General features: G+C 35.5%; 1 protein-coding gene across 7 annotated transcripts in view; it reads left to right on the top strand.

Moving 5' to 3' along the window:
* The window catches only part of DDX60 (DExD/H-box helicase 60), a 109686-nt gene that overhangs the window by 22545 nt on the left and 63527 nt on the right, over positions 1-23614 (top strand). For all 7 annotated transcript variants that reach the window (XM_024454132.2, NM_017631.6, NM_001410861.1 and 4 more), the window contains 9 exons: positions 1019-1135; positions 9490-9648; positions 11529-11687; positions 15120-15261; positions 16232-16387; positions 17937-18042; positions 18500-18615; positions 19829-19989; positions 22845-23100. In XM_024454132.2, the coding sequence (XP_024309900.1) occupies positions 1019-1135; positions 9490-9648; positions 11529-11687; positions 15120-15261; positions 16232-16387; positions 17937-18042; positions 18500-18615; positions 19829-19989; positions 22845-23100 (1372 nt within the window). The remainder of the gene's footprint in view (positions 1-1018; positions 1136-9489; positions 9649-11528; positions 11688-15119; positions 15262-16231; positions 16388-17936; positions 18043-18499; positions 18616-19828; positions 19990-22844; positions 23101-23614) is intronic.

The following is a 23614-nucleotide window of genomic DNA, read 5'->3' as shown; positions in this document are numbered from 1 at the left end:
CATTTTTATATTGGAAGGAAGTACTGTTATTAATTTTCTCATTTTACTCTGTTAGAGCAATTTCTAAATCTGAGTTTTAACAGTACCTACACACTGTCGAATCTTTCCTTAAGAGTATTTTTTTTTTTTTTTGGAGACAGAGTCTCGCTCTGTCGCCCAGGCTGGAGTGCAGTGGTGTGATCTCAGCTCACTGCAAGCTCCGCCTCCCGGGTTCTCGCCATTCTCCTACCTCAGCCTCCTGAGCAGCTGGGACTACAGGCACCTGCCACCATGCCCGGCTAATTTTTTGCATTTTTAGTAGAGATGGGGTTTCACCGTGTTAGCCAGGATGGTCTCGATCTCCTGACCTCGTGATCTGCCTGCCTCTGCCTCCCAAAGTGCTAGGATTACAGGTGTGAGCCACCGAGCCCGGCTGAATAATTTTTTTAATGAAGGATTTTATTTTTGTTAAAATCTATTTCCTAATTTGTTGAATATTCACCTTAAAGAAGTTATGTTATTAGTCAATTTGAGGATTATGTGAAATACAATTGAAAATACAATGCATATTTAAAATGGCTGCTGCTGGGTGATAGGTACCTGAAAGGGGGGTTATGCTATCTTTCATTCATGTGTATGTTTGAAATTTGTTAAAATATATGGCATTAAATGGGGATGACGGTGTTTTGGAGGGTGCTGGAAGTGTTCTAAAATTAGATTGTGATATTGGTTCCAAAGTTGATAAATTTACTAACAGCCATTGAATTGTAACAAAATGAAGGAATTTTATGTTATGTTAATTATACTTTTATGAAGCTGTTAAAAAACAAAATACGCTATATTCCTAGGCAAAAATTAACTTTCAAAGACAAAATAGTGATGTTCAATGGGGTTTAAAACTTACAATTACATTGGCATATTTTTTTCCTTAGAAATATATCGTAACATAATTATATCTAAAATATGTAATTTTCTATAGTTGGAAAATAATTACATATTTTATTTATAACAACTTTTCTGATTTTTCTTTATTTTACAGAATAAGCAGAACATTAAAGATGCTTATACAACCCTGCTTAACCAGTTGGAAAGATTTAAGCTTTCAGCATTAGCACCTCTTTTTGGAAGTTTAAAATGGAATAATATTACGGAAGAGGTAACAAAACATTTTAAAAAGCTTTGTATTTGAACTAAGTTTTTAGTTATAGAAAAGTTGCAAAAATCATACAGAGTTCTCATGTACTTCTCATCCAGCTTCTCCTAATGTTAACATCTTAAATAACCACGGAACATTTATGAAAACCAGGAAATTAACATTGTGTCAATCCTATTAACTAAACTTTAGACCTTATTCCAATTACACTGACTTTTCCACTCATGTCTCTTTGCTATTTCAGGATCCAGTCCAGGATACCACATCCATTCAGTTGTCAGTCACACTTTTGAGTGTCCCCCAGTCTGTAACAGTTTCTCAGTCTTTTCTTGTCTTTCATGACCTTGACATTTTTGAAGACTGCGAATCAGTAATGAGGTTATACATCTTTGGCCAGAATGTCACTGAATTAATCTTGGGTCCTCAGTACATCCTAACAATATGTCTGAGCATTAGTTAAGTTGGTGCCTGACAGTTTTCTCTACTGTGAAGTTACTATCTTCCCTTTGTAGTTAATAAATCTTGAAGGACATGCTTTGTGACTATGCAGATCCTGTTTCTTCTCAAACTTTAGTTGATTCACTTTAATGTCCACAGTGGATCTTGTCTGCAACAATAATTATTGATGTTTTTGCCTAATGGTGACTTTTATTTCACTCTTTCCTTGGAATTCCACCGTAAGGGACAGCTGTCCTAGTGCTGCCATTTATTTGTTTATTTATGTCAGTATGGATAAATATATTTATTTTATATTACAGGTTAAAATCCAACATTATAATTATCTTGGAGCTCAAAATGTTCCAGGTTTGAACATTAGAAGCCCCTTTAGGTTGGCGCTTGTGTTCTTTTACAAGCCCTCATCTTTCTGTACTTTCTAACTTTCTGAAATCACAAGATGGTCCAGTCTCATCTTGTATTTTCCCTGCCCCACCCCTGAAATTAACTACTTTGCCAAGGAAGAAGGCATTTAGAAGTTCAGATCTGAAAACTTTGTTGGTGAACTGCTACTGGGGTGTCATTGCTACTAGGGCTTTTCAGCAAATTGAACTAGGATCCAAATCCATAATGGTTTATTTTACCCCTCCCCTTTCTTTATTTTTAATTTCTCTCTTCAATCATGAGAAATCCAGCTTTCGTTATCTACAATATATTCACTTTTTTGTTCAATTTTTATATACACAGAAAGTTATTTTATTTTATTTATTTTGATTTTTATAGATTCAGGGAATACATATGCAGGTTTGTTACATGAATATGTTGCATAATGTTGAAGTTTGGTTTTCTAGTGTACCCATCACCCAATGTTGTACTCAGCAGGTAACTCTTCAACCATCACTCCCCCTGACTCACCCTGTTTTGGAGCCCCCGTGACTATTATTTCCCTCCGTATAGTAATTTTGTAATTGCTAACCATACCTGTGAGAAAAAGTCAATGAGATTATAAGATTTATGTGCAGTTCTTTTTTAACTGTAGCCATAGAATATGTTAATATACTGTTTCCAAAGTTATTCAGGCTAGTGACTTTCTCACCCACCTCCTTTGGTGTGGTTATGTTATCCTTTATTATGTAATACAGTTACAGTCATTGGTTAGTGTTTGTATTTCATCTTGGTCCCTCCCACCTATTTCCTGGTTGTTTTTAATTACGTTCATTTTGAAAGGTATGTGAAAGGTATAGGAAACACTTCCACTACACACACACACACACACACACACACACATTCTGGTGTTAAACACATAGATCGTAGCTTCTTTTTTTTTTGAGACAGAGTCTCAATTCGTCCCCCAGGTTGGAGTGCAGTGGCATGATCTCGGCTCATTGCAACATCCACCTCCCAGGTTCAAGCACTTCTTCTGCCTCAGCCTCCCAAGTAACTGGAACTACAGGTGCCCGCCACCATGCCCGGCTAATTTCTGTATTTTTAGTAGAGACAGGGTTTCACCATGTTGGCCAGGCTGGTCTTGAACTACTGAACTCGTGATCTGCCCACCTCGACCTCCCAAAGTGTTGGGATTACAGGTGTGAGCCACCGCACCCAGCCGTAGCTTCTATTTGCTTGAGTGTTTTTATCATGAATGCATGAATGTTTACTAAAATTATGGATATAATTACACAATTTTTCCTCCTCAGTTTTATTAGTATTGTATTAATGATTTTCCCTGTATTGAAGCAACTCTATATTACTGGAATAAATCCAACTTAGTCATAGTTTATTACTTCTTAATATGGTGTTGGATTCTGTTTACTAACATTTTGTTTAGAATTTTTGCATCAGTATGCATGAATGATATTTCTGTAATTTTGTTTCTTTGAATTGCCTTTATCTGGTTAGATGTCAGTGTGGTATGTTCTTCATAAAAAAGATTAGAATGTCTTCTCCTCTTTTTCAATATTGTGAAATAATGTGTAGATCATTGGGATTATCTAGTCTTTGAAGATTTGATAGAAATCTCCTGTGAAGCCATATAGTCCTGGTGCTTTTTTGTGAGGTAGTTTCTTAATTTTCTGTATTTCTTCCATGGCAATTGACTTCTTTGGGCTTGTTAACTCTAATGGGGTCAAATTTAGTAATTTATTCTTCTGTGAAAATTATCTATTTCACTTAAGTTTTCAAGTCTATTTGCATAGAACTTTGTGAAGTAGGCTTTTGTGATTTAATTTATCTTGTTTCATTAATTACTTTCCCTTTTAGTTTTTATTTTGTGTATTTGTGAATTCTCTTGGTTTTTTTTTATGATCAGGTTAGCTAGTGGTTTGTCTGTTTTTAAGTTATTTAAAACCAAGAATTTTGATTTATTAATGAGATCTGTTGATTTTTTAATTTATTTTGTGCTTTCTTTCATCTTACTTTTTTGGTTTTTATGTTGTTGTTTCTTTTAGATTTTTGGGGGGGCTGGGAACTTACTCATTTTTAAAATTCGTTTATTTTTATTGTTAAACATATTTAGTGAAATAAACTTTCCTCTGAATCACTGCTTTAAATATAGCCCATAGATTATGCTGTAAATTTTTTGTCATTAAAAAAATAAATTCTGTAATTTTAGTTTGTATTTCCTTTCACCCAAGTTTGACCGAATAGAAATGTTTTTAAGTTCCAGATTAAAGCACGTTTGTGATTTTTTTTTTTTTTTTTTTTTTTTTTTGAGACAGTCTCGCTCTGTCGCCAGGCCAGAGTGCAGTGGCACAATCTCGGTTCACTGCATCCTCCACCTCCTGGGTTCAAGCAATTCTCCTGCCTCAGCCTTCCGAGTAGCTGGGACTACAGGCTCATGCCACCAAGCCCAGCTAATTTTTGTATTTTTAGTAGAGACGGGATTTCACCAAGTTGGCCAGGATGGTTTCAATCTCTTGACCTCATGATCTGCCCTCCTTGGCCTCCCAACGTGCTGGGATTACAGGCATGAGCCACCGTGCCCGGCTACGTTCATGATTTTTAAAATTTCTTTTTTTTTTCCACTACCTTTATTGTATTATGAAGATGTTAACATATAGTTAATTTTTATGGATGTGCTGGGGACATTTAAGACAAATGAAGATTCCCTATCACCACAATGTAGTTTGATTCATAAGGTCTACTCTGTTGATTATGGTGGTTTGTCTTTTATCCCTTAACTTATTTTTTTGTCCAGCTGTCTCTCTTGTGTTTTAAAATTTGTTACTATAGGTGAGTTTCTCTATAGAGTTTCTTTTATCTTTTGTCATTTTTGTTTCACAAAGTTGGTTGCCATGCATATGTTGGATAATTTTTCATAAGGATTATCTTTTCATTATAGATTGTGGCTTTTAGAATAAAAGACTGCTTTTCTTTTTCACATGTAATGCTTTTGAGTTTGAATTCTACTTAGCCCAATATAAAGATACTAACTTCTGCTCTCTTTTAGTTTCCATTTACCTGATAGAATTATGTCCATTCCTTTATTTTTAGTATTTCTGAATCACTTTGTTTTAGTTGTGTGTCTTATATATGGAATGTGGTGCAAGTTGAAATTATTTTTTCTTTTATAGGTAAGTCTCACATTTACTGTTATGACTGATACGTTTGGTCTTGATTCTATAATATATTATAGGCATTTGTATTCTGGTGTGTTTGTTAAGTTTCTTTACGATATGTGTATTCTTTGTTATTTTATTTAAACAATTTTAAACTTTGGGCTGTTTTACATGTTTCGTTATGGTAATTACGTTTGTAATTACCATGCTGTACCATTTTTATAAAAAGAATAATCTCAATTCTCTGTTTCCTTATTTTACCTTTCACTATTTGGTTTCTGAAGTTTTAATTTTTCTCAGTATCCATTAGCACTCATTTATTGTGTATAGTGGGTTTTCTAGGATTATTATTTTAAAAATATTAATTTTATTATTAAATTATCATTATTACTATTATTTTATTATTTATTATTTTTCATTGAGACAGAGTCTTGTTCTATTGCCCAAGCTAGAGTGCAGTGACACGATCACAGCAACCTCCTTGCCTCCCTGATTCAAGCAATTCTTCCCCCTCAGCCTCCCAAGTAGCTGGAACTACAGGCCTGTGCCACCACACCTGGCTAATTTTTATTAGAAATGAGCTTTTGTCATGTTTTCTAGGCTGGTCTCGAACTCCTGGCCCCAGCCTCCCAAAGTGCTGGGATTATAGGCATGAGCCACCGCACCTGGCCCAGTTTTGTTTTTGATAAGATGTGCAATGATACAAATATTTTTCTGTCTTTCATTTCCACTATTATTTTTCTGACCTTTTTTGGTTTTTATTTTATGTCATTTGGTTGTTTTCCTACCTGTCTTCATTAAATTTTATTGAGATTATTCTCCTTTGGGCATCTTGTAACTTATTCTTTATTTCTGCATAGCTTTGCATTTTTCTATGATTATTTTGCGGAATTAATTATTTATTGTCTTTCTTTCTTTCTTTCTTTCTCTTTCTTTCTTTCTTTCTTTCTTTCTTTCTTTCTTTCTTTCTTTCTTTCTTTCTTTCTTTCTTTCTTTCTTTCTTTCTTTCTTTCGTCTCTCTCTCTCTTTCTTTCTTTCTTTTTCTTTCTTTCTTTCCAGCCCTGTTTTTGGTTTATCAGTTGCTGAATAAAGATCATTTTTTGGCTGGGCGTGGTGGCTTATGCCTGTAATCCCAGCACTTTGGGAGGCCAAGGTAGGTGAATCACAAGGTCAAGAGATTGAGACCATTCTCACCATCATGGTGAAACCCCGTCTCTACTAAAAATACAAGAATTAGCCGGGCATGGTGGTGCATGCCTGTAGTCCCAGCTACTCGGGAGGCTGAGGCAGGAGAATCGCGTGAACCTGGAGATGGCAGTTGCAGTGAGCTGAGATTGCCGAACCCAGGAGGTGGAGGTTCCTGTGGGCCCAGATCATGCCACTGTACTGCAGCCTGGTGACAGAGTGAGACTCCGCCTCAAAAAAAAAAAAAAAAAGATCACTTTTTGTATGTTCGAATGCTTGTTTGAGTATATCCATATTTAGAATGTAGACTTAGAGATTTCTTCTGCTTTATAATTGCTGATATTATTACTACTTTTGGAGATAATGATGAGATTTTTCACACAATTTGTGTGAATTTTTTTTCCTGCTATTATTTTTTGTAATAGCTCTCTATGTACTTTCTTTTCATTTTAATGATACCGAGGTTTGTTACAAGATACTTTAATTCGATTTAATCCAATCCAATTAATTTAATATAATTTAATTTAATGTTATCTTTTTCTGCCAGCTTGTCAGAATCCAGGCATGTTAGTGGGGTTTTTGTTAGTTTGTTTATTTATTTGTTTGGTAGTGGGTGAGTGGTTTTGGGTCTTCAAATTACCTGCTTTTCTTCTGACTTGCAGAGCCCTCAAATTCTTCTTTGTCTTCTTTTACTCTTTCGCCACTTAATTGCCAAAGGATACTTCTTCCTTTTTTAAAGCTTCCTTTTCTTTCCCAAACCTGTTTTCAGAAAATTGTCCCCTTAGGTAGTTCCTTTTAAATAGTTTCTATTCTTTTTAAAAATTTTAAATTAAAAAAATATTTTTGATTGACACATCATAACTATATATTTATGAAGTACAACGTTTTGTTTTGATATATGTATACAACGTGACATGATTACATGGAGCTAATTAACATATCCATCACCTTGCTTACCTATCATTTTTTATTGTGAGACATTTGAAATTTATGCACTTATTTTGAAATATATGACATTATTATTGGTTGTAGTCATCCTGCTGTATAATAGATCTCAAAACCCATTCCTCTTTTTTATCTGAAAGTTTGTACCCTTGGGTCAGCAAGTCTCCGTTTCTCCCCTCACCCTCTGAAGAGAAGAGTTTCTCTTCTCTATTTCTATGAGTTCAACTTCGTTAGATTCTACATATAAGTGAGATCATTTGGTATTTGTCTCTTTGTCTTGGCTTATTTCACCTAGCATAATATCCTCCAGATTCATTCATGTTGTTGAAAATGACAGGATTTCCCCCCGTTTTAAATGCTCAATAGTATTCCATTGTGTATATATACCTCATTTTCACTGTCCGTTCATCTGTTGATAAACACTTAGGTTGATCCACGTCTTGATTGTTGTGAACAATGTGTCAATGAACATGGGAGTGCAGATATACCTTCGAAATACTGTTAAAAGAAAAACTTCAGCTGAATTAAATTTAAAGGAGTTTAATTGAGCAATGAACGATTCACATATCAGGCAGCCTCCAGAATCACAGCAGATTCAGAGAGACTCCAGGGGTGCCTCATGGTCTGAACAAACTTATAGACAAAAAATGTAAAGTGACATACAGGAATCGGAAGTGAGGTACAGAATAGCTGGATTGGGTACAACTCTGCATTTGCCTTATTTGAACACAGTTTGAACGCTCAGCAGTGTATGAGTGATTGAAGTAAGGGATTGGCCAAGACAGCGACTGTTACAAGAACATACTCCTAAACTAGGTTTTCAATCTTGTCTACCTATTAAGTTACATTGCAATTCATCCAGAAGGATTCAAATATAGAAGTACGAAGTCCTTCTCCAGCCATATTTAGTTTGCTTTAACCATACTAATTTCGGTTCCTTTGGATACATACCCAGACATGGGATTACTGGGTCCTATGATAGTTCTAATTGTAGTTTTTTGAGGAAGCTTCATATCGTTTTACATAATGCCTGTACTGATTTACATTCCTACCAACAATGTATTAGAGTTCTCTTTTCTCTGCTTCCTCTCTGACACTTGTTATCTTTCATCTTTTTGATAAAAGCCCTTCTGACAGATGTGAGGTGATATCTCATTGTAGTTTTAATTTGCATTTGCCTAATTATTGGTATAATTATTAACGCTGAGCATATCTTTCATGTACCTATTGGCCGTTGGGTTTTTTGTTTGTTTGTGTGTTTTTAGTAATGACTGTCCAGGTCGTTTGTCTATTTTTAAATGGGATTATTTGTTTTCTTACTATTGAGTTTGAGTTGTTTCTATACTTTAGATCTTAACTCCTTATTAAATGTATAGTTTGGCTGGGCGCGGTGGCTCATACCTGTAATCCCAGCACTTTGGGAGGCCTAGGTGGGTGGATCATTTGAGGTGATTAGTTTGAGACCAGCCTGGCCAACATGGTGAAATCCCATCTCTACTAAAAATACAAAAATTAGCCTGGCAGTAGTGGCACATGCCTGTAATCCTAGCTACTTGGGAGGCTGAGGCAAGAGAATCGCTTGAGCCTGGGAGGCAGAGATTGCAATGAGCTGAGATTGGGCCACTGCACTCCAGTCTGGGTGATAGAGTGAGACCCTGTCTCTAAATAAATAAATAAATAAATAAATAAATAAATAAATGTATCGTTTGCAAAATCTGTGGACTGCCTCTTTCATTTGCTGTGCAGAAGATGTTTACTTTGATGCCATCCCATTTGGCTATTTTTGCTTTTGTTGCCTGTGCTTTTGTGGCCGTATCCAAAATATCATTGCCCAGACCAATGTTGTGGAGCTTTCCTCCTATGTTTTCTTCTAGTAGTTTTACACTTTCAAGTCTTGTATGTAAGTCTTTAATCCATTTTGAGTTGCTTTTTGCATATGGTGTGAGGATCTAATTTCATTTCATTGTTTCTCTTGTTATACAGTGAGCTCTTTTATTCTATGTACACAGGTTTCCTTTCGTCTCAGAAAAATTTTATTATTTCATTTTTTTAACTTTAAGTTCAGGGGTATATGTGTAGGTTTTTTATGGAGGTAAACTTGTGTCACGGGGGTTTGTTGTACAGATTATTTTGTCACACATGTATTAAGCCTAGTAGTACCCACTAGTAAGATCACTTACAAATAAAAATATTTTTCTAAATAGCATGACACATTACAATTTTTTTCTTTGACAGGCACACAAGACTGTATCTCTGCTTACACAAGTCTGGCCAGAAGGATCTGACATTCGGCGTGTCTTTTGTGTTACTTCATGCTCATTATCTTTGAGAATGTACCATCGCTTTTTAGGAAACAGAGAGCCCTCCTCTGGTCAGGAAACTGAGATCCAACAGGTGTGGTTTTTATAACTTTACTGAGAAATACTATTTCTCTCCACATTTGAAATTTTGTTGATTTGTATCTTTCATTTCCTCTATTTGGTACTTCATGTTTTTCTCTTATTTATATAAACTTCAGAAAATAAAACTGAAATTTGTGTCTATCAGGAAACACTTATTGTGCCATTAAATGATTTAATGTTTTACTATGTGCATGTTTCACTTAGTATATATTTAGTCTAAATCATCCAAAAGAAAATGAAACAAGACAGGATATTAGCACTTGGTGGAGGCCTAATATGCTAGTATGTTTTGGGCTTTTTGTATGCATTGTGCCCTTAAATCCTCACAACAGCATTGTGAGAAAGGCATTAGTATTCCCATTTCACCTATGAGAACACTGAAGTTCAAATAGTCCAGGTAACATTTTTCAAACCAAACGTACTAAATAGCAAGGTGGATTGAACTCCGGTCCATCTTGTGCAAGTTCCACAATATCAAAGTGTCTTTTGAAAGAACCTTCCTGCTGTAGTGTCTTGGCGTCATCCTAGCTGGAGAGATACTAAAGTTTTTAACTTTCTTTATGGCCAGTAGGGTCCATTAAGAATCTGTTGGCCAGTCTGTTTTCCTTCCCCCAATATACAGTTGTCTCTAAGTATATGTGCTTATGGGTGTGCGTGTTTACACATACACACACACACTTACACACTCAGACGCATGTGTATACATACTATTCTGTATACAATCTACCTACTGGGGGATTCTTGGCTGAAGGTTTCTATTAAAGAGAAATGAAGTTTCTGAACATTTCAGAAATATTCAGGGCTCATTATCTTTTACTTAGCATCCTTATAATTGTTTTTCCAATTATCAGATTGAATATATTTTTAGTGAAACATTTCTTCATAACTAGACATAGTATTTTAAATCATTCTCACAAAAATGATACTAAGTCAAATCTGCCTCTCTGGAATTTCTAATGATTAGACTCTATTTGGCCTTCTGGAGGTGCCCTGATGAAATCTTACACTTGCTTTGTTGATAGCCCTGCAAATGTTTGAAGATAGCTATGACGTTCTTGTCCCATGATATCAGATGTGTCCACTTCTTTACCCGTGTTCTCACAGGGCAGGTTTTTCAGATATATTACCATCCTGGTGTCCTCGCCCTGGTAATTTTCAATATTATTTAAAAATATGATGCCTTGGATGGGATAGAGCATTTAATGTGTGGCTCCATCAGCGTAGAGTCCTGTGAAATTACGACTTTATTAGTTGCTCGATCAGCTCATGTAGAGTTTGGCTTAACTAAAAATCCTGAAAAATGTTTTATTTTAAATGCGATTAAGCCAGCAGCTTCCCATTCCACTTACCTCACATCTGTATAAATGCAGTAGAGTTTATGTTATAAAGAAAAGGAAAGTCTTAAAAAATGTAGAATGAAAAATGTAATAATTCAGCTGGGCATGGTGTCTCACACGAGTAATCCTAGCACTTTGGGAGGCCGAGGCAGGTGGGTTACCTGAGGTCAGGAGTTCGAGACCAGCCTGGCCATGGTGAAACAGTGCCTCTACTAAAAATACAAAAATTAGCTGGGCATGGTGGCAGGTATCTATAATCCCAGCTACTCGGGAGGCTGAGGCAGGAGAATCACTTGAACCTTGGGTTGGAGGTTGCTGTGAGCTGAGATTGGGCCACTTCACTCCAGCCTGGGTGAAAGAGCAAAACTCTGTCTCAAAAAAAAAAAAAAAAAGAAAGAAAGAAAGAAAGAAAGAAAGGAATAATTCATGATTCCTGAACAGCAAAGGTAGCTGTCAGCTTTTGTGGTCCTAGATGCTTATTATGCAATGTCACACCCTGCTGTTCTCTGGCTTATACCTTCTTTATTTTATTCAGGTGAACAGTAATTGCTTAACCCTGCAGGAGATGGAAGATTTGTGTAAACTGCATTGTCTCACTGTGGTTTTTCTACTCCATCTGCCTCTTTCTCAAAGAGCTTGTGCTAGAGTCATCACTTCCCATTGGGCTGAGGACATGAAGCCTTTATTACAAATGGTAAATGTACTCTTTATTAGTTTACTATTTTTGTGTTTTGAATGTTTGATAGAAACTACAATAACTTTCAAAATTCTCTTATGTGGGACTACTATTAGCCCCTTGGGGGCTATAAAAGTTTAATGGGCTACATCAGTCACTTTCCAATTTCAGCATCTATGTTTAGGAGAACTAACAAATAGCATGATATATATCTAACCTAAGGAAAAAGCCTCTCTATTTTTCCTTTGTTAAATCTCTGCCAAGGTCAGGTTTTTGTGTTATCAACTGTAGTTGATGGTTGGTGATCACTGTGGTCTGCTCTTAAGAGGAACTGAAGAAATCAGTTTTGTAGTTTATTACTTTCAACTCTTATAGAGAATATTTAGAGACAATTTGGATACTTTAGAGAAATAGAAGCAAAAACAGAAGAAAAACTTCCCCGGAGGTCTACCATTTTAATCAATAGGGATAACTGTTAACATTTTGGTTTATTCTTTTTATTTTAAATGCATAGATTTTTCTGATGTTTTATTGTTTCTTATATTGGAACTCTATATATACATATATTTTTTCATGTTTTTCTATTTCCTTTCACAATATTAGTATCATTTTTAATGGCTACTAGTTATCTTTTAGTACCATGGTTTACTTACCCATTTCTCTATTATGGAATATTAAGAAGACTTTGATGGTTGTATTATAGATGTTGTTATTCTCTTTGTGTATAAGCCTTTTCCTTTAATTTGGGGTTATTGATTTTGGCTTGAGAGCTAGAAATGGGATTAAAGGATCAATTGGCATGAACTTTTTTTAAGGATCATTATACATACAGTGAAAATGTTCAAGGAAAGTATTTTATGACCAATTAACTAGGAAGCCAGTCCACAAACATTTAGTACATTGTGGTAATCACTGGGATAGAGTGAGAAAAATAAAAACATATTTACCCTTCCCACTCCAACCCCTTCATAGACCTACATTTTCCACAGAAGACAGATATTAAATTTTAAAAGTAATTATGAAGACGGAATCATAGAATGCTTTATAATCTGATAATAAAAAGATCCAACGTAGTCTGAAAACGATGGTGTTTCTTAAGAAATGAAGACAGGCCGGCCGCGGTGGCTCACACCTGTAATCCCAGAACTTTCGGAGGCCAAGGCAGGTGGATCATGAGGTCAGGAGGATCATGAGGTCAGGAGATCAAGACCATCCTGGCTAACATGGTGAAACCCCGTCTCTACTAAAAATATACCAAAAAAAATAAAAAGTAGCCAGGCATGGTGGTAGGCACCTGTAGTCCCAGCTGCTCGGGAGGCTGCGGCGGGAGAATGGTGTGAACCCAGGAGGCGGAGCTTGCAGTGAGCCGAGATCGCACCACTGTACTCCAGCCTGGGTGACAGAGCGAGGCTCCGTCTCAAAAAAAAAAAAAAAAAAGAAAAGAAAAGAAAACAGAAAGAAATGAAGAGAAGTGAAGTGACCCAAGTCCTGGAGGAATAGAAGGAGTTAGCAGGATGCAGAGAGGATGAAACTGGATTGTAGGGCGTGAAGCAGCATGTGTGATTATCCCGAGGATGGCATAACCAAGGAACTGAGATACATCTATCACAGCAGGGGTAGCAAAAATATGGGAAAGTGATGAAGCTGAAGAGGCGGGCAAGAGACAAGTCACGTAGGATTCTGTAGGCCCTGTTAAGAAAATACAGATGTAACTTGATAGAAGCCCAATGAGGATTCACTGAGTGGTTTCAAATGGATGAGTGGCACTTGCATTTGCAGAAACTTTCCCTGGCTTGCAATGCAGAGAGTGCATTGTAGAGGCAAAACAGGGGGGACTTGGGGAAATTAGGTGGCTATTACCTCAGTCATGTAAGTGTTGATGGTGCCAGGGACCAGTGAGAGGTAAGTAGGGATGAATAGCACTGGGCAATTTTAAGAGTTATTTAAGGTGAAGAATGACAAGTTTAGTGATTGAATATGGGTAACGAGGGAAAGGAAGGAGTCAAATAGTTCCTAGACCCCTGGCTTGAGCATTTGTGGGGATGCCGTCATTGTATGAAGGGCACGTTAGTGGGGAAGGATCAATGGTTTCTTTTTTGGAAATACTGAGTTTTGAGTGCCAATGCAATGTCCACATGGAGATATCTAGTAAACAATTTGAAATAATGTTTTGGACTTAGAAGGGTGGAATGGGCTGGAGATAAAAGTTTAGGAATTGTTACCCTGTGGATGTTAATTGATGCTATGCTAAGAGATGAAATTATTTTGGAAGAGAGATATGGTAAGAGAGCTGAGGACAGGGAGTTCAAATATTCCAATATTAAACACTTAAGTATGGGTTGAGACAGTGGCAAAAGATACTGAGAAGGAACTACTTAGATAGATGGGAATAAAATCAAGGAGAATGGGTTGTCCTGAAGGTCAAAGGAACTGGGCAGTTCAAAATGTGGATGTGGTTAATAGTATCAGCTGCTATAGAGGATTGTAATAGGTTGAGGACTGAAAATACATTGGTTTTAATGAAACGGAGCTCACTGTTGATCATAATTAAGAGACTAAGGTCTAGGTTGTACTTTACCTAATAGAAAACCTTAGTCTTTAATTAGACATAACAACGATCCTCTTATGTCCTCATTTTGCAAAGGAAAAACTTGGACTCAGCTATGTGGTCCATGAGCACAGCTAATGAATGATCAAGTTGAGATCTGACTTCACTCTGTCCAGCTTCCAAATATATGCCCTATGGAGTAACAGCTGATCAGCCCATAGTCAGCCAACCTTCCTGCCTTTCCCATACTCCATGCCTGATATTTGGTAACACTCTGTAGCTTGAAGTGTAATTTCAGGTAGCCCCTAATATTTTCAAAATAAAAGAAATTTTTGACATTTCTTGAGGCCTCTTGAGAAAGCAACTAAGCAAATCGTAGAAGGGATCATTCCATGAGGTTTACTCTGAATCTTGAAGCATGGAGACCAGCCAGGTAGGTGGATGGGAATCTTAAGAGTTTGAAGGATTCAGCATCTTCTAGGTCCCTGAACACTCAAACACATTTTTTTAAATGCTCTTTTGACCTGAAGGTTGAATCTGAACATATTAAAATCTAAATAAAGAACAGAGGCACATTTCAAAGCAGAAGTATTTCTGTAGCTTTGGAATTCTATCTGTGGGTAACAGTGTGAGAAAAACACTATTTTAAGAGTCAAATGCAGATTTCCTTGATTCGGGATAAAGAACTATACAGAATGCATTTTTGGATCAGTTTTTATTTTATTTTATGCTTTAATTCCTTAAGGTGTAAAGCATTCACCATTACCCAGCCTGAATGGGCTTGCCTAAACAAGGATTGGAATGATCCTGCCCACTGCCTTTCAGTTCAGAAGCATATGAACCCTATAGTTTATTGCTAATATGAATATTGCCAATAACTTGGTTTTCTTTTCAATTTTCAGAAAAAGTGGTGTGAATATTTCATCTTAAGAAATATACATACTTTTGAATTTTGGAATCTGAATTTAATTCACCTTTCTGACTTAAATGATGAGCTTTTGTTGAAGAATATTGCTTTTTACTATGAAAATGAAAATGTAAAAGGTACCATCTCAGTATATTATAATCATACTTCCATCCACAGATAAACTTTATAAGGAATTTAAAACTACAAAATAATTTTTCTGTACTTCCAACATATAACATAGCAATTATTTTCATCTTTGTTCACATTTGTATGTAATATTTTAGTTGCAATTAGAGGGAATGCTGTATTTTAAAATATGTTTTTCACTTAATATTACATTAAAAGTATTTCAGGAGAAAATATATGTTTGCGTGTCCAGCATTTTCAGTTAATTTCAAAAGTTGAACTTTTCATTTAAATGCATGCATAATATTTCTTCATAAAGTTTAATTAATTTAATTATTTCACTACTATTGAGATATTTAGAAAATTTATTTTTTTCCAAAAGATAAGGCTAATTTATATATTTTTATATGTAATTTGTTTTTCTTTCTTTAAAATCTTTTCTTAGGGTAAGATTTCTGATGTTTCCTAATAGTAAAACCGAACAAAACAAAACAAAAACATATTTGGACAGAACTCTAACTGATTGAACATTATTGAAGCTTTGACCACAGTGATGTGGTTCCTTCATGTTGTAATCATTGTAATGAATTAGCTGCATATAAACTTAACAATCCTTTACCAATTTTCTCATCTCTCAAAAACTAAAGTTTTTATTCTGTTTTGTTTGTTGTAAAGTTATGTGTGGCATAACATTTTTATTACCTTAAAGAGTAGTTAAATGTTCACGATGCGTTTGTGGGTTAATGTGCTTACAAATTTAATACTTAGTTATTAACAATAAAAACAAGATAAACTTTACAATCTGTATCTCATAGTCAACACTAGTGACCATTTTCATTTATGTCCAGTGTGGAACTCACTAAAAATTTCACTATGTGGAAAGTATTTCAGAATTCCATGAATTTACTCAAAATGTGACTAATGATTCTTTATGTGGGAGTGGATGGCTTCTAGTATTTAGTGTTTTTAATTGTTATGTAGGCCTACATTTGAATTTGGGAGATACCATTATGAAAGATTATGAATATCTCTGGAATACCGTATCAAAGTTGGTCAGAGACTTTGAGGTTGGACAGCCATTTCCTCTGAGAACAACAAAAGTTTGTTTTCTTGAAAAGAAACCATCACCAATCAAAGGTAATAAATTTCTAAATTAATCTGAAATGAAAGCATTATTCCTCTGAAAGTGTTTAGGAAACACCACTAATTCAGTGCTGCAAGTATAAATAATTTTCTGGCACTTGAATTTTAATAATAAAAATAAATTACCTTTATTCTTATATCCTTGGAGTGGTATGCTGTGACTATAATTATGAAGATTTACATTTTGCTTATAATTAATATTGTTTCAATTAAAAAACACAGCCAGATATATATGACTTCCATTTCCAGCAATATGGCAGTTATAGGTCCACAGAAAAATCTCTTTGTGTAAAGCACTTGAGATGCTGAATAAGAGACACCAAACATCTTTTTATAACATTATAGCTAAGCTCAAAACATCCTAGGGGCTGAAAAATTTAGGGAAGGCCACATGGGCTCTCCACCTCTTTTAGGCAGCAAGTTGCAGGGGCTTAAATAAGAAAGGATCCCGACAAACGCAGGCACAGGGAGCACTAGGAGGATCCCAGGCAGAGCAATGGTGGTTAACCTGGAATCATGAACCAGACATTCAATAGAATAAAAAGTCATTCATTTGTCTATTATCATAATATACTTGATATGTAATATCTATCTATCTATCTATCTATCTATCTATCTCGTGTGGTGTGTGTGTGTGTGTGTGTGTGTGTGTATAAAATCAAGGAGGACTCAAGAGAATACTGTAATCATATCAAATAATTTCATTACCATCTGTATTTTTCCCTACTTCTTTTTTATTTCATTTTCATGAAAGTCTTTGTATATGTGTATGTATATGTATATAGATATATAATCTCTGAGGCTTCCATCGTCAAAATCTTTGTCTTATAATAAGGGATAATAAAAGGAATTCACATTTGAAAATAAAAGGCATAGGTATTTTTCTTTATCTTCCTTCCTTTCTTCCTTCCTTCCTTCCTTCTTTCCTTCCTTCCTCCCTCCCTCCCTCCCTGTGTGCTTGCTTGCTTGCTTTTCTTTCTTTCTTTCTTTTTCTTTTTTCTTTCCTTCCTTCCTCCCTCCATCCTTCCTTCCCTCCCTCCTTTCTTTCTTTCTTTCTTTCTTTCTTTCTTTCATTCTTTCCTTTCCCTCCCTCCCTTCCTCCCTTCCTTCCTTCCTTCCTTCCTTCCTTCCTTCCTTCCTTCCTTTCTTCCCTCCTTCCTTTCTTCTTCCCATCTACCTACCTATCTGATTTATCCATCTGTCATCTGTCTACTTACCCATCCATCCATCCACCCATCCATGCATACATCCATCCACCCATCCATGCATCCATTCACCCACCCATCCCCCATGCATATCCACCCACCCATCCCCCATGCATATCCACATATATGCCAAAATGCTGTCTGATTCTTTATACTCTACTGTGTTCCAAAGTGTTTTACTGTGGGAAATAGCTTTATGAGAAGGGCTGAACTTGATATATGTAAATAAGATTAATATAAAATGTTTTTAATATGAAGTTTTAGAAAATAATATGTAATATTCCTGTCTGAAAGCTTTACATTTGACCTTGTCTCAATTTTTTTTTGTTTGTTTACAGACAGCTCCAATGAAATGGTGCCCAATTTGGGTTTTATTCCAACGTCATCTTTTGTGGTTGATAAATTTGCTGGAGATATTTTGAAAGATTTGCCTTTTCTAAAGAGGTATAAGGCCAAAAACTGTGCCTCAATAAATACTTGTGTGGAATACATGAGTTACTCAACGAGGATTATTTGAAATGCAGACGATTAGAGTACATTACATGTAGTATGTGTTTGTAATACATAATGAATTTAAAATCAAAATTTTCAATGCCTTTTGGCCATTACTATGTAAAAATCTGTATAGTTTTTAATCTTAGAATAAATCACTACAGCTGCATATTTTAAATTAATGAATTAATGAATGCCTATTAGTTGATATTGATGGGACTGTTAGAGACATGGAGTAGATTTTGATTTATTAAACCTCTAATAAACTGCTGTTTGGAGTCTACCACCCACATCATATTGCAGAAAGAAGAAGGGGAACTATGATTTTCAAAAACATTATAAAATAAAATCTGTGCTGTGTTATATTTGGAAGTGTGCAATTTAAAATATGCCTTTTTTTGTCTCACAGTGATGATCCTATTGTTACTTCACTGGTTAAACAAAAGGAATTTGATGAACTTGTGCACTGGCATTCTCATAAACCCCTGAGTGATGATTATGACAGGTCCAGGTGTCAGTTTGATGGTAAGCTCTGTGACTCCAGTGATATAAATTTAAATCTACTTTACTCTCTGCCTCTTATTTTATAGTGGAAAATTATCATAAGACACAAATTAAATTTTTTTGAATGAAAATAGTCTACAAGATATTTAGATGTGCATTGGGAAAGATGGTAATGAAAAATTCTCTCTCTCTTTATTGACAGTCGTACGTATGTAGATATGTATGTGTTTTAGGAGGAAGTGCTAGAAGTTGTTTCAAGGAAAGATGGTTTGTAGTTTAAGCAATGTATGTATTCCTTGGAGTCATATATATTGAGACCATAGTCTTTCAAGCAATTTTAACTGTTTGATAACACCCGATTGGCTGCATGTAACAAGCACCAGCATTCTATCTGCCTTCATGCTCAGGGTGGTTGAAACTACAGAAGGAGGCCCATGAAACCACTAACAGTGGATCAACAGAGACTGAATTTGGGATCTTGTCTTCATCTCAACTTTCTGTATCCCTATGCTTACCCCCAGCCCCGTTAGAGTTGACAAAACTTACTCTGAGAATAACCTAGGAGTAGGCATAGCAAGTATGCTCCTGTGAAGTACCTGGGTATGTAAATAATGACCAAGGTGTGGGGGGATACTTTAGATGAACCATTAACATGCTTCGGAGTGGTCTGGTGTGATATGTGTAGTTACAGACATAGAAAAATTAATCAGCTTAGTTATTTCATTACTGTGAGTATTACAGTTTTTATGGAGATAAGGGAGTAAGGCATATCTTGACTTTGGGGGCATCTTATGTTATTAAATTTTACCATTTTAGCTGCCATGCTCTGGGCTCTGGCTCTATGGCTATGGTCCGGAGTAAGGATTTTTTCTATCCAGTGATACAAGAAGTCAGAATATCTTAGATGGTTGTCTTCTTCACTCTGCCTCTACCTTCTTCTTAAACTAATTCACAGGGCACAGGACATAGGTAATGAATGGAATCCGTCATTTTTTTTGTTGCACCTGATACCTAATTTAGGAGGTAGACCATGAAAGTGTGTTTTGTCACTTCCATCTTTTAAATAAGAAAAGGAATTATTAACTTGATTTTACGTTCTCTCTTTAAGAAAGATAATGAGATTAAATTACTTTTCCACTAATTTAACTACTGGATGTGGAATAATATGAAGAATTGATGAGAATGCTATTGAAAAACTACAATAAAGTTACATTTTAAGTCTTTTCTTTTTCAGAAAAATCTAGAGACCCTCGTGTTCTTAGATCTGTGCAAAAGTATCATGTTTTCCAACGGTTTTATGGGAATTCATTAGAAACAGTCTCTTCGAAAATCATCGTGACTCAAACTATTAAGTCAAAGAAGGATTTTAGTGGGCCCAAGAGCAAAAAGGCACACGTAGGTTCTATAAATTCTATCCAATTAAAAAAATTTTCCTTTTCTTTTATCAGGTTGATATGTGTTATCCCTTTGGTGGTTTCTTTTTATATAATGCCTTTTCTTGATATTTATATGCATATATTTTTGTATATGATTACTTATTCTTTTACCTCTTGCTGAAAAAGCCTAACCTTCATAAAAAAGTTGTAATGATATTCTATACATAATAACATATGTATCTCTTTGAAGAATAATTAAGTGACTAAAGTTTTGAGTTTAGAAATTTTAAACTAACGTTAAAAATATAGTTGTTCATTAATGACAGTGAAAATCTTTTTCATATAGGTAGTAAAAATGGATATGAAATGTTTATCTACTTTTTTTCTAAATTATAAAGAGTGTTTACACTTTTCCAAAGTATTTAAATGATTGATTAATCCAACACATTTTTTGAGTGGAAGGTTAGAACTCTCCATTCCCTCTTTCTGTGTGGCTTGTACTCCTGCAAACTTACCTTTTTCCTTCTTGGGATGTCATTTTTCTACTCTTTTCCTGGGAGACGTAACTGGGGATGGAATACAAGGAGTAAATAAGGAAAGTTCCAATCTATTTCTGGAATAATAATACTAATAGTTTATGATCTAAAATTATCAGTTGATAATTCCTGAAACATTAATGTCTAAGTACAGATATTTTTATTTTAAAACTGAATTTTCTGATTATCTGACTTTAGAGGCAGGTCATAAATGGTTTCCATCTTAAACAAATGGAAAACTCATCAGGCTTTAGTATCTTTCTGTGGCCTCAAAGTTGGGGTTTTGGAAATGGCATTAATTTTCACAAAAAAGTTTCTCTCAAGATGAAAGGTTTTAGTATATTAGAGAAAGTACCAACTTAACAAAACCAATCACAAATAAAGGTATTTGTCACATATCCACCTTAACAAATTGAAATAAACGTGGTGAAGTTATCAGGAATGGAACATATAAAGACCTCAAAAAATATTTTTATTTTCACTTCTGAATAATTACTTTTGCGAAAATTTTGGCAAGATCAGGAAAATGTGCATCTCTTTGTCAAGCCTTCAGTGGACATTTTCAGAACTCCGAGAGACAGATAGTTCATCAGTTCAAGGACTTATCAAAAAAGTTCTTGTATTTTCTACTCAGGATAACTTCAAAAAATAATCACAAATTACTCTAAAAGGTTCTCACATGTTCTGTGAAGCCTCTATTCTTGAACTGCTTCAAAAGTTTAAGCAGTTGGGCTGTCCCATCTTTTGTTTTAAGAGCCAAAGAGAAGCCTCTCTGAGCCCAACTGTGTGATCGTTGTTTCTCTCCTCCTTTTCATTTTTATAGCCAATTGTATTGTCAGTGAGACTACTTAATTAAACATTTACTTTTTTATTATGGGTGACAAAAGGCTACTGCTTTTCAGTTTTTTTGTTGTTGTTGTTTTGAGAGATGTTATGAAATGGTAAATTTGCAGAAATTCTTGTTACATAATACAATGTATGAAAATAGAAAAATCTACATGGCAAAGGGTCAAAGGTAACCCTTGTACTATTGAAACAGAACCATGCTAAATTGGCCCAACACAGCAAATTAGGAAGACTAAACACTGGGAAAACTCAAATATTATTGATTAGAATTATTTGTTTCTAATTTAGAGAGTGATGACAACTAAACTTGACTTCATTATAGGCAGGCATTTACATATTAATTTCGTGACTAACCAGAAGTGTGGAAAATGTGTTGGAATCCTCTTGCTAATACAACAATTCTCTAATTTGTCTTTGTAGATTAATGAGTCAGGTTGGTAAAAGCATAGTAAAAGTGGGTCCATACTATGTTTAAGTTAATTGGAAGTGCTTATTGAGGAAGAGCAAATCAGTTGTATTTGTGTTGTTCCTCTTATCTACTCCTCTTCTTCCTCTTTCCTTATTCACTCATCAAACATTATGGACTAAATGCTTTGTGCTTGAGACATACAGACAACAAAGGCACATTCCTGTCTCAAGGATCTCAATCAAGAGAGGAGGAATGGCAAATGAAATTACAACTACAGTTTATGTTAATGAGTGCTTCAATAGGTGTCTGAGCAGAGGAAGAATACATGACTTCGACTTGGGAGAGTCAGGGAAAGCTTCATGGAGGAAATATCATAAACAAGTAGAGAACAGGGAGGTGATGTGGGAAGAATGGAAGAGGACAGGCGATTCCAGAGAGAGCAGCAGATATCATAGCATGGAGAAATGAAAAGAGAGGCAGTCTGTTGTCTCTGATTTTGTGACATTAACTTTTCTTCTTCTTTTTTATTTTTCTGAGACAGAGTCCTGCTCCATCGCCCAGGCTGGAGTGCAGTGGCCCAATCTCGGCTCACTGCAACCTCTGCCTCCCAGGTTCAAGGGATTCTCATGCCTCAGCCTCCCAAGTAGCTGGGACTACAGGAGCGTGCCACCATGCCCAGCTAATTTTTGTATTTTTAGTAGGTAAGAGGTTTCACCATGTGGGCCAGGCTGGTCTGAAACTCCTGGCTTCAGATGATCCTCCAGCCTCAGCCTCCCAAAGTGCTGGGATTACAGGTGTCATTCACCACGCCCAGCAACATTTACTGTTTTATTTATAAACCACACCACTCAGAAATCTAGAAAATTATCTACAGAGAGCCTTTACACTCCCTAAATTAAATTGTCTTAAGTTATAAATTAACAGAGGCTTAATTTCCAAAAGAAAAAAAGAAATTTTTCACATCTACTCAAAATGGGATGATGGTCAAAGTCTTCAATACACCCATAATATTGTCTCACTCATGACCTGTTATCTTGGAATATTTTCAACTTGTCTTAAGAGATGTTTTTTCCTTTGGGGCAGGAGACCAAGGCTGAAATAATTGCTAGAGAGAATAAGAAAAGGTTATTTGCCAGGGAAGAACAAAAGGAAGAGCAAAAGTGGAATGCTTTGTCATTTTCTATTGAAGAGCAATTGAAAGAAAATTTACACTCTGGAATAAAGAGCCTGGAAGATTTTTTGAAATCCTGTAAAAGTAGCTGTGTGAAACTTCAGGTTGAAATGGTGGGGTTAACTGCTTGCTTGAAAGCCTGGAAAGAACATTGCCGAAGTGAAGAAGGTATGTAATTCTGTTTTGTTATTTCGGTGAGTTGGAGAATTAATACAAATGTAATGATGATAGTTGCCATTTGTTAACTGGAAATTTGCATTAGAAGACTTACATGCCCTATCTTACTTTATACATTATTACCTTTACAATAGTTTCCCGCTACCTGCCGGGGGTATGTTCTAAGACCCACAATGGTTGCCTGAAACTGTGGATAGTACCAAATGCCATGTATATTGTTTTTTCCTATGCATACATACCTATGATAAAGTTTAATTTCTTTGAACTCCTGCTCTTGAACTCCTGACTTTGTGATCCACCTGCCACGGCCTCCCAAAGTGCTGGGATTACGGACGTGAGCCATTGCGCCCAGCCACTGTTGTCACTTTTTAACTCATCAAAGTGTCTCTGTGAAGGTTGCCATTCTTTTGTGATTATATGGGTGACTTTAATGCTGTGTTCCATCTGAGAATTGTATTCCATATTTTTTCTTTTAATATCCATGTAATTTGAAACACTTCAGCAA

The sequence above is a fragment of the Homo sapiens genome, chromosome 4 (assembly GCF_000001405.40).
Source record: "Homo sapiens chromosome 4, GRCh38.p14 Primary Assembly".
Classification (NCBI taxonomy): domain Eukaryota; kingdom Metazoa; phylum Chordata; class Mammalia; order Primates; family Hominidae; genus Homo; species Homo sapiens.
This window is presented reverse-complemented; position numbering and strand designations above follow the sequence as displayed.